This window comes from Homo sapiens, chromosome 9 (assembly GCF_000001405.40).
Source record: "Homo sapiens chromosome 9, GRCh38.p14 Primary Assembly".
Classification (NCBI taxonomy): Eukaryota; Metazoa; Chordata; class Mammalia; order Primates; family Hominidae; genus Homo; species Homo sapiens.
The window spans coordinates 23756433-23773179 of record NC_000009.12 but is presented as its reverse complement, the minus strand read 5'-3'; the positions used below and the strand labels follow the sequence as shown (position 1 = coordinate 23773179).

The window sequence follows — 16747 nt, the reverse complement described above, 5'->3', positions numbered from 1 at the left end:
CAAGACATTTCCTTGAGATACTTCTCGCCCTTAGCAACCCTTTCCTCACTTTGGAATCACTGAATAAAAATAACACTTGCATTGAATGTAAATTCTCCCCCTCCCCCACTTTTTTTTCTTGAAATGTAGTAAATAACCAGGAACTTAATTACCATAAAAAGTCACAGATGTACCTAGGTGTGTTTTGTTCTAGCTGGGATGTCGGTTTTTAAAGAAAGCTGTCTTTGGGGGAGCAAGAGGCAGAGGTGGACCAAAGGAAATAAAGTTACTATCTTAGGGTGTGAATCTTGTTTTTTTAAGATGCCTCAAATTTCCATAGTAAATAAAACATAGTTGTGTCTCTAAATCACAAGTATACATGTCTTGGGAATCTCAGGACGTTACACATCAACAGAAAAGAAAAACACATTTCATAGGTGAATACCAGTAATTGAGATGATCCACAGTTCAGAGCAGAAGGAAGCTGTCTGTATTGATCAAGGTTTTTAGACTCCTTGTTTTGCTCTCCACAATACATCAATGAATTCTAAGATATTTATGTGCCCTGGGATGGCATCCCTTTATTTGTAGCCTCCTAATGTTACTAAGGAAATAAATCTTGTTGGTTGACATTTTAGATGCCTTTTTTTTTTTTTTTTTTTTTTTGGTGTAAGCTGCTTGAGGTTAAACAGTGTAGCATTTGGTTTTCTATCTCTAAGTCCTGCTAAATAACAGTGAAAAATAAAATGTTAACCTCACTGGCCAGGAGGAGTGTTGTGGCCTTTATAACATTTGTGAGTTAAAAAACATTATTTTTGTCCATAAACCTTCCTTGTCTTTTATTTTCCCTTTAAGATTAGTCATTCTTTCTGCTTTGGAGTTTGTACATGACAGAGTATTTTAGTGTCTGTATCCAACAGAGGAGCTATGTTTTTAACCTACCTAATGAAAACACTCAACTACTGGGATTAATTTGAGGATTTCCAATCAGCCTTTCACAATTTGTACTACCCTGAGGGGGTTCCTGATAGCTGTGACTTTTGTAGAAGAATGTGAAGTTAATCCAATTTCTGTGTTGATTACTATGTTAACTGTCTTAATTTAGCAATTCAGATTAATCTGCCTATACCAAACAAAACCTCTGCCACAAAACTGAGGGAGTAGTTGATTTTATTCTTGTTGTACTCATATCCCTTTTTAGATTCTATTGCCAAATAATGGCATGGAAATTAATTGGGTCCACTTAGGTTGGAATGAAAGAATGGGGTTGGAATGATTCATCACCAGAAGGTAATGATTTAGTGTATTCCAGCCTATAACCAAGACAGAGTTATCTCATGGCTTAACCTTTACTATTGTAGAGGTATATAAATGACCCTGTTGAAAAATACAGATTTTAAAGTTTACTCCCATTTTACAAAATGTGACTTAATCTAATCTTCATCCACTTTGTTTTTAAACTTTTGGGGAGAGCTTTGAGCTATTTTACTTTGAATTCTGAAAGTTTTAAGGGGGCTCACATAGATTACAAATCAATTTTCTGATATACTATGTTTAGTAGTAGTTGCATGTTTTAAGCTACTGATTTGTGATTTTATATTTGCTCCTAAATGAATCAGTTGATTCTTTAAGAAGCTGGCAGTGGATTCATTTAGTAGCAAATATAAAGTGAATAGTGAATATCCAACCATAAAGTGAATAACTCTGGATTTAATATTTATAAAGTCAAAATTTTTGTATGTTGGGTTTCCTATATATATCTATATATAGATTTATATATATATCCTTATTTTCTTTTAAGGCACAACTGTCCATAAAATCTCTTCCTTTGCTTATTCATCTTGTGTTCTTAGTGTCCAGAGCATAGTAAATGTTTTGGTGGTTTGTAGGAATGTGAGCAGTTAGTATCTAAACCAGTTTTTTGACAATGGATTTCAACAGTGTACTGATGTAATTAAAATGTAGCACCTTAATAATGTGTTTTCTTCTGGGTATATCCAGAATCTGATGACTTCTCCCCAACTTCACCCTGGTGGGAGTCACTGTCATCCTGCACCTGAATTGCTGCAGTTGCTTCTTGACTGGTCTGTTTCCAAACTCACTGAGTCTTCCTGCACACCCACACACAATTTATTTTCACAGTAGCCACATGCTACTCTTTTGCTGAAAACCTTTTATAGTTTCCTTTTTTGTTATGGTGGCCTTCAAGGCCCTATGTGTTCCGGCCTCATTACCTCTTAGACTCATCTCCTCCTACTCTCCCTGTTATCTCCTTGTCATTCTGCACAGCAGACAAGCTTTGCACTGGCAGGTCTCTGCCTAGAATCTTTTCTTCTAGATATCTCCATGGGGGCTGTCTTTACTTCCTGTTAGACCTCTAACAAATTACTTTAAATTTACTGGCTTAAAACAATACAAGATTTATTGTCTTAAAATTCCGAAGAACATCAGAAGTCCAAAGTGGTTCTCAGTGGGCTAAGATTAAAGTGTTGGCAGGGCTGCATTCCTCCCAGAGTCTTTATGAGAGATTGTTTCCTTGCCTTTTGCAGCTCCTAGAGGCTGCTTATATTCCTTGGCTGGTGGCCCCATTTAAAGCCAGCAATGTCCTTTCGATTTCTTCTCATGCTTCATCACCCTGACAGTCTCACCTTCCTCTTTCACTTATAAGGAACCTTGTAATTACCTTAGGCCCACCTCAGTAACCAAGGATAATCTCCCTTTCTCAAGGTGAGCTGATTAGCAGCTTTAATTCTACAATCTTAATTCCCCCTTGTCATGTAACATAACATATTCACACTTCTGGGAGTAGGATGTAGACATTGAGGGGAAGGGGATTTTTCTTCCTATCACAGCAGCCAGCCCATATCTCCTTCAAACCTTGGTTCAAAGCTCACCTTTTCATTGAGGCCTGCTTGTTTAATGCTGGAAACTACCCGTCTTCATCTCCACATTTTCAACCCCCCTTATTCTTCTCTATATGTATTCCACAGCACTCTTACTTATTGCTGATGTACTGTTTTCTTCTATGTGTTCATACTTGTATATGTTCTGCACACACCATCCACAGCAAATCAGCACTCCAAGATGCTTCTTCATTGCTGTACCTCAGGACTCTCCTGAATTCGTGGGAGCTGCATGGAGATGTTCGTTGAATGGATGAATGAACAAAACATGAAACTTAAGCAGATCTTTTTCGCCAGATCTTTACTTTCCCATTGCTCAAACTGGATACCTGTAATGGACTTAGACTGAAGAGAAGGACTTGGGACCCTAAACTCATTATCTTACCTCTCTAACCTCAAAGCTTTTGAACCTGCCAGCTCTGAAACTACAAAACCTCAGAAAGACTGGCATGAAGGAGACTGTGTACTTTGTCCGTAGAAGTCATAAAGGGCCAAGAGACAGAAAAACGTTAGTGTTTGCTGCCAAAGAACATTCTCCTTATGACGCGTGCAGCTGTTCAGTGCATTGTCTCTGCAAGTTCTTGGGCCGTTGTTAGCCCCAAGGCTGAAAATGTGGGTTTGAGGAATTCGTAGAGCTAGTGAGACAGCTAACATGGTATGTGGGTGGGCTGGAGAATTGACAAGGATTCTAGATTGAATAAATCCTTTGACATTTAAAGCTACAAACCTTTATTTTAGGAATCACAAAGCAAAGAGAGTTAAAGAAAACAAACTAATGGCTTGTTCCTGTAACTGACATTGTTAGCCTTGTGATTTTAGCACTTGGTTGACTATTCTCTTGCTTAATTAAGTGAAACCACAAACATATCCTGAAAATACCACTTAGTGATTTGAATGGGAAAGATAAAGCATTTGCTATAGGAATGGTGTGTGTCGGGCAGATGATCCCTTTGACTGCCTACCCAGCTGTCATCTATAAGCTCATATGACTTATTTCACCAATTTTGGAGTGCTTTTGTCCCTGCTGCAAGTTCCCCAAAGGATGGTGTGGTAAAGGTTGTGATGCCTGGTTTTGTTTTTTGTTTGTTTGTTTGTGTTTTGTATGTTTGGCTCTAAAACTTTAGAGACAAATGTCTTCTGTTCATCTGTAACTTGGCATTTAGGGAGAGGTTTGATGTGGTCAGAAGGAAGGCCTTTGTACTGGGCTGATTCTGTCCTGGTGTGCTGTGTTTGAATACTCAGGGTATTCAAAGCTTCTAGTTGCAAATAAGTGTAGAGACCAAGTTCACTCTGTTTAGGCTGGACCTTTCCAGCCTGAGAGATAAGCTTGTCTTTGCCTCTAGCCATGATTCTTTTAAGAGATGTTATCGTTTCTGTTTGCCTAAACTTTTCTAGTTAGTATGAAGATCACTGGTGATCCACGACTTAATCATGATGTGCTTCTAAATGCCTTCTTCAAGATCTGTTTAATTTTCCTGCATTTACCTTTGATTTTGCCATTTTCCTGAAGTTGGACCCAAATTCCACATGCCCATATCCATAACCCTGCTGGCCAGAGGCTTGGATTTGTCTTGTCTTCCAGGGTTTTGTAGTTAGTGTGATAGATTGTTGAAATAAAAATACACAACTTTTCACAAAGGTAGATGGTTTCCTTTTACCATATAATAGGAATTTAGATTTCAGTGGGTGAGGGTGGCTGATGGAGTGCGTCAAAACTTGAAAATATGCTTTCATAATTACTTCTGGTTTGAAATACTTGGTGGGATAGAAAAACAAGTTAGAGCCACTCATGATTATTTGTGTTTCCAATTTATAGTTTAAATGTATTTGTAAAAAGTAAAAAAAAAAAAAAAAGTTACCTAGTTTGTACACATTTAGGGAGGGATTTGCTCTTTCAGTCTCCAATTTTTAAGAAACTGTTCTTGCCCTTTGCTTTTTCAATGCTTAGTTTGTACAAACCCCTGAAATGGAGATGGGGTGGGTTTGGATGGAGCCTTGAATAAGGGAGATGGGACTGCATAAACAAAGCTAGAAGAGTGAAGGTACTGGACTGTTTGAGGGACAAGGAGTAGTTCAGATCTTAAGGTGCTTGAATAAGTGGGCTGATAAAAGTAGTTGTACAGGATTTCTGTTGATACCTAGTAGTTTACACTTCATTTGATAGGCAGCAGGGAGCTGTGGGAGGGTTTAGAAAGTCTACCTGGGAACATTGTTAAGGTAGATTAGGATGAGGAGAGAGGGACCTTTTGGAGGCTTTAATTTGCTGGTCCTGAAGAAGATGAGAGCCCAGGTCAGGATGTTGACCATGGCAATGGAGTGGCTGGAGCAACAGGCGCAGCCTCACCAGGGGTCATTGTATTGGCCCTTTCAGCAGCCCTGCTATGACTTTAACCCGCAGAAGTCTGGTCCCTAAATCAGGTGGTTTCTAGGCTATGGAACCTTTTTCCCTCCTCGCAACATTATACTGAGTGAACTTAATAACAACTCTCAGAATATAGTTAGGATATATTTATTTACTTATTTTGGAGACAGAGTCTCTCACTGTCACCCAGGATGGAGTGAAGTGGTGTGATCTCTGCTGACTGCAACCTCCCCCTCCTGGGTTCAAGCCATTCTCCTGCCTCAGCGTCCTGAGTAGCTGGGACTACAGACCACGCCCAGCTAATATTTTGTATTTTTAGTAGAGGTGGGGTTTCACCATGTTGCCCAGGCTGGTCTTGAACTTCTGACCTCAAGTGGTCCACCTACCTCAGCCTCCCAAAGTGCTGGGATTACAGACGTGAGCCGCCGAGTCTGGCCTATTTAAGATGCTTTTGATTAACTACCTGGTTTAGTGGCTGTCTGCAAGAGGTTTGAAAATAGTGAAGAAGCTGATTACCTTAGTTTGCAGAATTTTTTAATTGTAAGATTAGAAAATATAGACTGCTTTTCTCTCATGTGACCAGGAAACTATTGGATCAGTTTGACTTCTCAAATTCTTAACTCTTCCCAGATATGAGATATAAAGCATTTATTTTCTAAATTCCACTATTGTGAAAACAGTAGATGTTAAAATTCATAAAGGATTATTTAAATAAAAAGTTTAGAAGTCTTTATGGCTTTTTGGAAGTACCTGTGTGTATAAAAGTAGAGACAATCTTCTATTTCCCAATAAAACCTACGCTTTCACCATAGTAACAGCCATTTTACCTTGGAGCCCAGTGAAAGTTTAGAATATTCTAGATTCATCTATGCTAAAGTGCCTTTTCGTAAATTATTACTTGGATAATAACAGGAGGAAAAGCAGTCTGAATTGGCACAAGTGATGTCTAAATTAAGAGGAGAATATATATTGAAACATTATTTTTTTAAGCCTTAAAATTAATGGCTCTGTTTCACTGGAATATGGCCTTTTTTTTCTTTCCGAAGAGTTTCAGAGCCAGTGGAATCTATAAATAGTACACAGCCCAGTTGTCTGTGGTAGATTGAGTAGAGCAGAATTGCCTGTCCTTAAGTGAAGGGGAAGTAGCTTTACATTTTTAGTAACTGAATTGTTGGCCAGCATAAAGGTAAGGGCCATGTGAGCAACTTATTTATAACTTCCCATAAAGGTATGTGTCTGCCTCAAGCGGAGAAGACTGTCTGGGGTGCTTGAAATGTAAAAGTGCAGTAGAATCATTTTCCATACACAGCCTTCCTATCTAGTTGGTGCAATAAAGTGATTGTTCACCTCCCTGGGGCTTTCAGAAAGAGGGGTGTCAATAGATTAGCTCATTAGTGTCCACCTCCTATGAAATAGAAGGGACTGAGGCAGTTAAATTAAAATCTGTTTTATGTAGTGAGCAATGTTTAGATTGAACTCCTGAAGGTATTCAGGACATACATTTATGCCTGCTTTACCCTGCTGGGTGTGGTCCTGCTCATGTAGTCTTAACTACAGTTGGGTTCTTATGAAAAATCTTTCATGGGTGTAAAGCACTTTTTCACAGGTTCAGTTAAACTATAAGTAGTTTTTTGAAAAATAACATAGGGTCAGACCAAAATCTCTTGTTACAGTGGGAGAACGGAAGAAGAGTAAAATATTTTCATGGCTTCCTGTAAAAAAGTATGTTAATCCTTTTTGATAGATGCCAGAAAGTGGAATCCATCGTTACTGGCGGCATTGCTAATATCAAGAGTAAATCACAGCCAGGATTGCCTCTCAGGATAAAATTTTTATAATTATCAATAAGTAAAAGACATTTTTGGACCTCTTCTGTTATTCACTGTCTATTTTTAGAAACTAAGTTTTCTGATTATATTGACCATTTGAAGCATCTGCATATATGGCAAAAAAAGTAAACTTTGGCTTTTGTGCCAATATCATGGCTCTGTTTGGTATTTGGGCAAGTTTCAATAAGTGGTAAATGGCCCATTAACTATATTGGAGGCCTCATAGCAGCACTAATTTCAAATCGTGCTGGGTTTACAATTTACATATTAAAAAATGTTCACTTGATTTCGTTCAGGGACAAAGCTGACATCCTATGCGAGCATTACTCCAAACAATCCTATTTATCGGTCCAATTATTTCAATTGAAAGATGCTGGTTTACTGCCTCTTAGTATATGTGAGCAATTCTCATTGAAACTGTTAGAAACCGTTTGACTGTAGTGGCAAAATAACCTCACAGGGTTTCGATTCACTTTTAATTTTAAGTCCCAGGATTAAGGATCATTTATAGTATAATGTAACAGTGTGGGCAAATATAGCTTCTCTTAATGTCTTTCTGATATTTTGGGGAAAGAGTGCTTTTATGCAAACCAATCACTTAGGAATTGCATGATGACTTTTTCCCACTATAAAATTTCATTCACATTTCCTCCCTTCTCCCACATCCTTAAGAGATAAGACAGCCTGCAGTATTTTGCTTTATTTTACTTTATTTTTTAAATTTTTGAGGTGTGGTTTACATTAGTTCTTCAGAATAGATGCCAAGATAACTAGTTAATACTGTTTTAAAATCAGGCTCTTAATTAAAAATGCTTATATTTGTGCAAGAAAACTACATGTTGAAATGAATTTGGAAAGATTAGATTGGAATTGCCTCAATTTCAATTAAGCCACACTGCATGGACGTGCTGGGAATATCAATACAATCACTGTAAATTTTGTACAAACTGATTTGTTGCATTATCTTGCTCATCTAACATACGGTACTTTTTGTGTCCATATTGCAGACGGCAACTCCAAACTAACATGGCAGTCAGACTGTGTGATGTGGCTTCTCTGCTTAGAAGTGGTTCGTGGGCAGCAGAGCCTTGGACCGGGGTCTGTGGGATTTTTCTTAAATTCTGTAGGCTACTTTTTTTTAGCATGTTGGAGGAGTGCTGAGGCCATACCAAACACTTGAATCTTTCATTTGGCATACTAATTATTCTTACATTTAACCTATTGTGGTATGGCCATCATTAGGACTTAAAGCACATTGCAATTTTAACTGTAGTGGTGTATGTAGCATCAGAACCATGCTCTCGTATGTAATTTTTTTACAATCTAAATTAGGATTTAGCGCAGACTCAAAAGAGTGACAAGCTTTTTTAAAAAAACAAAAAAAGTTTTGGTATGGTCTGAATACTAAGTTACCGTAATTCTATACATTCTGTTTACTATGTATTTTTTTGGTTACTAAATTTTGAAGTTATTTACAATTCTTTATGCTCCAAAAAAAAAGTTGAAATTGTAAATCTGGCTGAAAATTATTTGCCCAGTAACTGTTGAAAGAGTTTGCATTCTGTGAACAGTTGTGTTGAGCCTATCAATGGAATATGCATTATTTGTAAAATATAGCACATTAGTATCATTTTATTCTGAGCAGATGGTCCTATAGCAGAGAGATGCTGTAATTTTCAGCGCACACAGCCTACTGCAGCTGTTCACTTGAATGTTGGCTTAGGAGCTCATTCTTGCCACCTGAACATGGAAATAAATGTGCAATTAAGTGAGGAGTGTTTGTTGTCCTTTCTAAATCTTGCTGATTTCAGTCAATGAACACTTTGTATTTCAAATGCTATCCCAATGAGCTTTAGTCCGAATCTCCCATTCGGGTCTCTTGTAGTTTCTACACCCATCCAAACTTTTCAGTAGTGATTTAAGTGTCTTTGGCCACTTTAATCTTGTAGCTCATTGTTTCCATAACTGCTGGGCAAGGGTTAACCCCAGAAGAATTTTTGCTGTGAAAAGAGTGACCCACAGCTAATATTCTACAAACCAGAACAGTTATGTTTAATTAGGAAATCTGAAACTTCCCTTTTCAAATTCAAATAGATTTGCTAATTATAATAAAACCCATATCTTGAATTATTTAAGATTTTTAAATACAGATTTCCAAAGGTTTATTTTCCTTCATCCCTTTAAGTATTCCCTGAGAAAACTTAGCTTACGTAGAGAAACAGCTTGCAGCTTGTAGAATAAATTCCCACTTCTTTGACAAGGAAATGAAGTCACAGAGGGGTTACAGGTTGTTGGATATTTCAAAAGCTATTCTGGATTTTGCCTCATGTTTTTTTATCATGACAGCACTGATTCTTGTTCAGTCTGACCAGTCTCAATATGTCCAACACTGCCTTCTTTTGTAAACATCTCCTGGCAGTAGAGATTTCTTCCTATATGTTTATCTGCTAATGTGCCCTTTTATTTTTCTTAGGCAATATGTGTTTTAAAAGACAGTTTTTTCTCTTTCCTTGTAACCCTCTTTCCCTTTACTTTGCTTTTTTTCTTTGCCTCAAGTTCTTTGCCTTTTCTATGTTAAAGCTTCCCTAAAACTAGCATCCCGTCAATTCAGAATTGTCAGTTTTGAGAAGCAGTTCTTTGTGGAGGTGAGAGATGTATGCAATATGAAGGATAATCCTTTCAGTGATGCGTTGATTTTTAGATTCCACCACAGTCTTGGCTGTCCAAAGATAGGTAGTTAGTGGAAAATGATTTTGGAAAATTTGGGGCTGTGGTTTGTGACTCTTTTGCATAGGATTGGTTTTAGGAAACTAGATTTAATACTGCTTAATAAGTGATTTGTAGAGTAGCCTGAACAGTTTGAGGCCATTTTCCCCAATTCTGTTCTTTATCTGGTGTTTGGAGTTTATAGATACCCTATTACTTGCATTTTCAACAGGCTTATGTGCTCAGACGAGAATTCCTTGGGCTGGTCTGTTTGCAAAAGTTGATATATTTACATTGTTGTTTTCATTGACTGGATAGGTTTTCTTTTTTCTCATTAAAAAGCAGAGTCAAGGAGAAACACCATATCGAAGTGTTTGGGGATTTTATTTTGATGTTGTAGATCAGTCACCTTGTTGGTAATTTTTAGCTGCCAAGGTTGACAGGAGTGTCCTATTAGATTCTACCAGTTAGACAAAGTATTCATAGCTCATTCCCAAGTTACCTTACAGTTAGTTCCTTTCCACTCCCTAAAATATAGCATCTGTTTTTTTCTTACCAATGGTAGAGATAAGATATTGTCCATCAAAAACGTTTTCAATATGTAACCAAAACAGTACATGTTGACAAATTTATATTTTTAAAAGTACTCTTGCTCTTTGATTTTTAAGTTAATGGCTATCTGTCAGTTTTAGAATATTGAACCTCTTAGGATAACTGAAAATCTCTTCAGAGTTAGGTAGGTCATTTTTTTGTTCATTTTTGTAGCATGTTAAGCACTTTTATTTTCTAGTATGATTTTTAGTTAGGGTTCAATTCTGTGCCCTTTGGTACTTGATTTTCTCATCTGTGGACACTGCAGGTGAGTAAGGATATGTGAATAGACCCAGAATGTGATTCTAGAAAATGTTTAAGATTTAAATTGTGCTTATATGCATGTATGGAATATGTATGTGAAAATATAGTTGTAACCTTAAGATGAATAGGTTAATATGAAGTGAAAATTAGTGTAGGTATTACACTTTTTGTTGAAGCATTGTTGTAATTTCATTAGAACGACTTGTGTTTAGTGACAAGTGTTTAAATTCTTGGATGGAGTCTCTAATAGGTTGTGAAATATGAATTCTGACATTTCTTGTTTTCTCTGTTTTTAGCAGGTAATTGCTGCCATGGAAACACAACTGTCTAATGGGCCAACTTGCAATAACACAGCCAATGGTCCAACCACCATAAACAACAACTGTTCGTCACCAGTTGACTCTGGGAACACAGAAGACAGCAAGACCAACTTAATAGTCAACTACCTTCCTCAGAACATGACACAGGAGGAACTAAAGAGTCTCTTTGGGAGCATTGGTGAAATAGAGTCCTGTAAGCTTGTAAGAGACAAAATAACAGGTAAGCAGTTTTATGTAGATGATTTATATTTAACGGATCGTGTCTCAAGATAGGAGAAAATAATAAGATTACTGCTTGTAAATAATTCACTGCTGCAATTTTACATATCTAGATTTTCTCTCTGTTATTACATCAGCAATATGAAACTTAGTTTAAAATTTTCTTTTTAAATCATAAACTATTTTGGGGGCAGTATATATTTTAACTGGACTTTAATGTACTCTGATCTGGACAGGATCTTTGGAAAATCTTCTAAAAGTATATGTATCTGGGATAGCCAGTGTCATGTTAACTTTTATCTTTTAGTACCCTGAGTGTATTTAAGTTAGCATTTCAACAGTGAGATACAATATGTGTTTGGGAGAGGGGAAAAAATCTTAAAATGTGTTTTCCTTATGTTAATATAATCATTTTGCTTATATATGATAAAATAAATGGTAATGTTCACATTGTCAGTGTATAAACATTTTCACTGATATAATACCAAGCGTGATGAGATCTTATGTTCCGTTCCTTAACAAGGAAAGGACATGGTATATGATTGTCCTTCTTGTTATAAAGATAAAGCCTTAATTATAGTACATTTTGAATATTAGGTGAAAATCTCCTTAGTATTTTTTAAGATTTGACTAAATTTTTAGAGTAAACCAAAACCTAATTTAAAGAGCACGTTCTTGGGATAGAAGGGTTAATGCTTCCTGCAGGAGTTGTTTTCAAACACTAAAAATACATGAAGTTAGACATACATATGAAGTTAAACACTAAAAATATACGAAGGTAGACAGACTCTGTGGACTTTTCATGTTAATTAAATTTGATTGATAGTGTATACCAAATTGCTTTACAAAGCTTATAACCAAAAATATAAAATGGAATATTTGAAATGAGTAAAAGATACTTAAAGGCAGTGTGAAGAATGAGACCAGGAGTCTGAACTCTCACCTAGTCATGTGACATTGGATAAGTCAGCCCTAGACTTCTGGTTTCCATTGGCAAAATAAGGTAAAAGGCAGAGAAAAAGGGGGTAACACTGGGCCATTTCTAAGTTCACTTTTGACTTTTTCATACATGGGACTTTGAGCTATTCCGTTAATCGTTAGGGCTCATTCTCTCCAAGATCTGCAAGTGAGTTCTAGAGCCAGCCCCTGGACTTGGCTCATAATCATATTTCCTCAAGCTACAGATTGAGATTCACAGAGACAACTTACTGAAATCAAGTTAAAAAGCTAAGTACAAACTGATTGTCATTGATCCATAGCAAACGGCCATTATATTTTAATTATGTTGCTTAAATGTTCACTATGATATTAGGAAGGTGGTTCTTATGTTTCTGAACACTGATAATCAGATGGATGAGATTTTTCAATTTCTTTTCCAAAATGAGTGTGATAAGCATATGTGAAATTTATAGTGTTTTTAATAAGTTGAAAAAGGTGAAGAACAAAAGGCTGCTCTTACGTCTCTGTCGTGATGTTTTTAAACATCTTTTTAACATGTTTTAAACATGTTATCTTTTGTTTTTAAAGTAAAACAACACCCCTGACATGTGGATTTTGCAACCTTTTTAATATAAAAGATAAAAATATGATAAATGACTTGAGGGCTATGACACAAATGATGCAATTTCTGATTGCTTAGTAGAGCTCCCCTTACTATTAAAAAGAAAGATGCATGAACAGAGCACAAAAGTCATGTTTTGTTATGAAACTGTTACGAAATGATACATTTTATCATTTTATAAGATGAAAATATTAGACAAATCATACATCTTTCATATTAGGCATCTGCCACAGGAGACATCTTACAGATCCTCACGTCTCACCTCTAGTCAATCTTGAATTAATCTTACTCTTTTGTGAATCTTTAGAGCTGTTATGTGGCAAAATGGGATAAATTTGAGTTCTTTATCTTCACCTCCTTTGCCTCTCTAACTTTAGTGTGGTAGACGGTGGTAATAGAAGCACAACACATGGGTATTCTTTAATACATACCTAGATACTAAAAAACTGTGTAAATATTTCTCATCCATTTCCTTCACCTCTGACCCCTGCCTGTTGTCTTTTCAGTGGCTTGAGGGGAAGGATGTAATGGAGATTTCCACTGTGGTAAAATTTCTATTAAAAATATTTGGTAAGCAAGTAGAGTCCCCAAGAAATTCCACAATGGTCATGAGTATTGAAAGATGTTTCTAAAGATGTAAGACGTTTCTATACATTATATATATATATATATATATATATATATATATATAATACTATATATGATGTATACACATATATATTACGTGTACACTACTATATATAGTATATATTTGTATATAGTTAACACATAATTGAACAAATTTGTGGAGTACAGTGAGATGTTTTGATGCTATATACATTGTGTAATGATCAAGCAGGGTATTATAGCATTTCCAAATCTCAAACATTCATAATTTCTTTGAGAGTGTTCAAAATCCTCTCTTCTAGCTATTTGGAAGTATACTATACAATATTGCTAACCATAGTCACCCTTCTGTGGAATAGCACACCAGAACTTATTTCTTTTAACAGTGACCCTGTACTCATTAACCATCTGGCCCCCTCCTTCCTTCCTCCTCTCTTCTCCACCCTCTGGTACCCACTATTCTGCTCTCGCCTCCAATGAGATCAGCATTTTTCGATTCTACCTATGAGATCGTGTGGTATTTGGCTGTCTCACCTCACTTAACATAGTGTCCTCTAAGTTGACCCATGTTTCTGGAAATGACAGAATTTCATTCTTTTTTGTGGCTGAATGGTATTTCATTTTGTATATATAGCATATTTTCTTTATCCATTTATTGGTTGATGGACATTTGGGTTGAGTCCATATTTTGGCTGTTGTAAACATTGCTGCAATAAATATGGATATGCGTGCATCCCTTTTGACAAATTGATTTCATTTCTTTTGGGTTAACATGCAGTAGTGGGGATGCTGGATCATACGGTAGTTCTGTTTTTAATTTTTTGAGGAACTTTCATACCATTTTTCATAGTGTATTTGGTGTATTAATTTGCCTTCCCACGATAGTGTGTATAAGATTGAAAGATGTTTTTCAACCTTCATTTGGTGAGATACTAGTAATTATTTCTTAACATAAGTATTATATTGACAGACAAGTTTAGGAAGTGCTGCACTCTGTAGTTCTTTATTTAAGATCCATACTCGATAATCACTGTATTAAGAACTATGAAAAATCCAGCAGTAAAGAAAACCTGTTTGAATTATAGTTCCCCGGCCTTATTTGATCATAGAGCCTATTTGGGGACTGTGGGAAGAGTGAGTATCTCTCCCTGACAGTAGATTACACTGAACATGGTGCTATAAAAGCTTTTGAAATCATTTGTTGTTAACTGGTTATCAGACCAGTTTAACCTGTTCACATCAATAACATATGAGCATGATTCCTAAAAGAAACATATATGATAATAAATTCAAAAGTGGAGTAGGTAAATCTGAACACTAGGCATCTCAACTTCTGGTAATCTTGGTTTGATTTGGACCACTGACATATTTGTAATATGGGTTAAAATGGCTTTTAGAAGGATCTCACTCATTTAACTTAAGCATAAACTGCTTTAGGATATTTTTTTTTCTGAGTTTCTTACTGAATACTTCTATTGAGTAAAATAGTCTAGAAAATGGTAGTATCTAAATCTGGGTTCTGAGTGGTTGTACTTTGAAAAGTAGGCATACTTCGTAAGAGGTAGTACTAATGTATCTCTAGCAAGGTTTTGAAAGAATTTGTGGAGCTTTGGACCCTGTCCTGTGGTGTGTAGCATTACCCGTCTTGTGCAGTTTCTCAGTACGTATTTTAGGGACAGACCAGAGTTCTTTGGTCCTTCTCTAATTATCCAGCTTATTCTACCTCCTGGGAAGCAGTTGGGACCCATTTCTGTATTCCGATTTTGTAGGAGCATGTGCGTTAATTGGGTTACAGGAAAACTCTGGAGTCACTCTACAGGAAGATTTGAAATCTTTCCTTTTCCCTTTTCTTAAATCTTTCTTAATGCTGAATCAGGAAACTATATCTAAGGAACAAAAATATCTAGTTAGGAAAGTGTGTGCTTCTTAAGTCCTTGAAGAGAGTGTATAACTTTTAGACTGTGTCAGTGTTAGCAAATTAATGTCACTATTTTGATCGAGTGAGGATTAGGGAAGTACATTAAGAAATGTCTTCAGTAGCAAATACAATAATCTTCTCTCTAGACTAAGTTCTATTTATTATGTTATTTGTCAGGTCCGTCTCTTTGGGCTTCTGCCCAGCTGTATGCTTCAGCCTGTTTCCTATCTATAGGCATTCATCATGAGAAGCTTCTGCTGCTTGTACAGCTTAGCTGACTTTAGTCCATCCCTTTGCGTTTTTAAATGCACTTGGGAGTCCTTGACACCTGCTGATGCTGCATTCTAGATGAACGAAATGGATTTTATGATGCAAGGAATGAGTAATAAAGTGTTACAGTCAGAAAAGCCCTAGAGGTGACCTTAACCAACCCTCTCCCTTCTTTGCCCCAAACATCATAGGTGATGAGAGGCCCAGGTTTGTGAAATGACTAGTTCAAGGCCACAGAGCTATTAAGCGGTAGAGTAGGGACCAGAATTCTGATTATCTTATGCTTTACCTGGATGTTTCCTCTTTGCCACTTGTTGGAGGCAAGAGCTCACTCTTTAAAGATGAAGCAAATGGCCAACTGATGAATTTATAGAGAGATGTGTGATTTTTACAGAGTTATCCAGAGGGCATCTTCTGGCGAGTGTGTCTTCTCTGGAAGGAGAATGGAAGGTTTTTGACAGTAAGGACTGACGAATACACCAAATGAACAAGAACATCTGTGCTTCTCTAGAAACATTATAATCTATGGTTGTGAACTTGATATTCTAGCCCGGTGGTACCCAAATTTGGCTCTACATCCTCACCTACTCACCTAAGGGAGTTTTGGAATCTGTTGTCAGAGAGCTTCCCAGGTGATCTTGAAGCCCAAAAAAGTTTTGGGAATCAGACTGTGTCTCATGAAGTATGGTCACAGGATTCCCGCATTGGAATCACTTGTAATGAGTGCTAGAAATGCACGGTCCTGGGCTCTGTCCAGGCCTACTGAATCAGAATCTGTAGTGGGGACCTGGAAGGTACTCGTTAGCTAGGAGTTATCAATGTCTTAAACATTTTGTAGGGAGATTGAACCAGGGATTTCCAGGTTTACCTGAATTCTAGATTTAGGGCGTTATGGAAGAGGTGTTAACAATTGCAGTACTTAATTCTTTGGAAAGTTTAAGTTTAAAGTGCTGTCCCCTCTTCAGCATTGGTCTCTGAGTTAATTCCTAGCTTTCAGAACTAGACATGTTGAGTTTACGTCACTAGGCTGTGTCCTTACTGATCTGATATGTTGCTGAAAGCACGTGTGCGAGCATGTGTGTGTGTGTGTGTTTAAGTGTAATTAGGTTTTTGAAACTCCAGGGTAGATTGTTCTTTCACTGTTATTTTTCCTTTCTTCTAAAAGAATGGCTAGAGGAGTAGTTGGTGGAAGACCTCAGGTAATGAGTATTTCACCATT

At 36.8% G+C, this 16747-nt stretch overlaps 1 protein-coding gene across 58 annotated transcripts in view; it reads left to right on the top strand.

Moving 5' to 3' along the window:
* Window positions 1-16747, top strand: part of ELAVL2 (ELAV like RNA binding protein 2) — a 160498-nt gene that overhangs the window by 77422 nt on the left and 66329 nt on the right. For 24 of the 58 annotated variants that reach the window (XM_047422916.1, NM_001385694.1, NM_001351466.2 and 21 more), the window contains one exon: window positions 10931-11174. In XM_047422916.1, coding sequence (XP_047278872.1) covers window positions 10931-11174 — 244 coding nt within the window. Of the gene's footprint in view, window positions 1-8080; window positions 8172-10930; window positions 11175-16747 lie in introns of those variants that run through there. The other 34 variants (NM_001385695.1, NM_001351456.2, XM_011517779.4 and 31 more) reach the window with 3 other exon arrangements.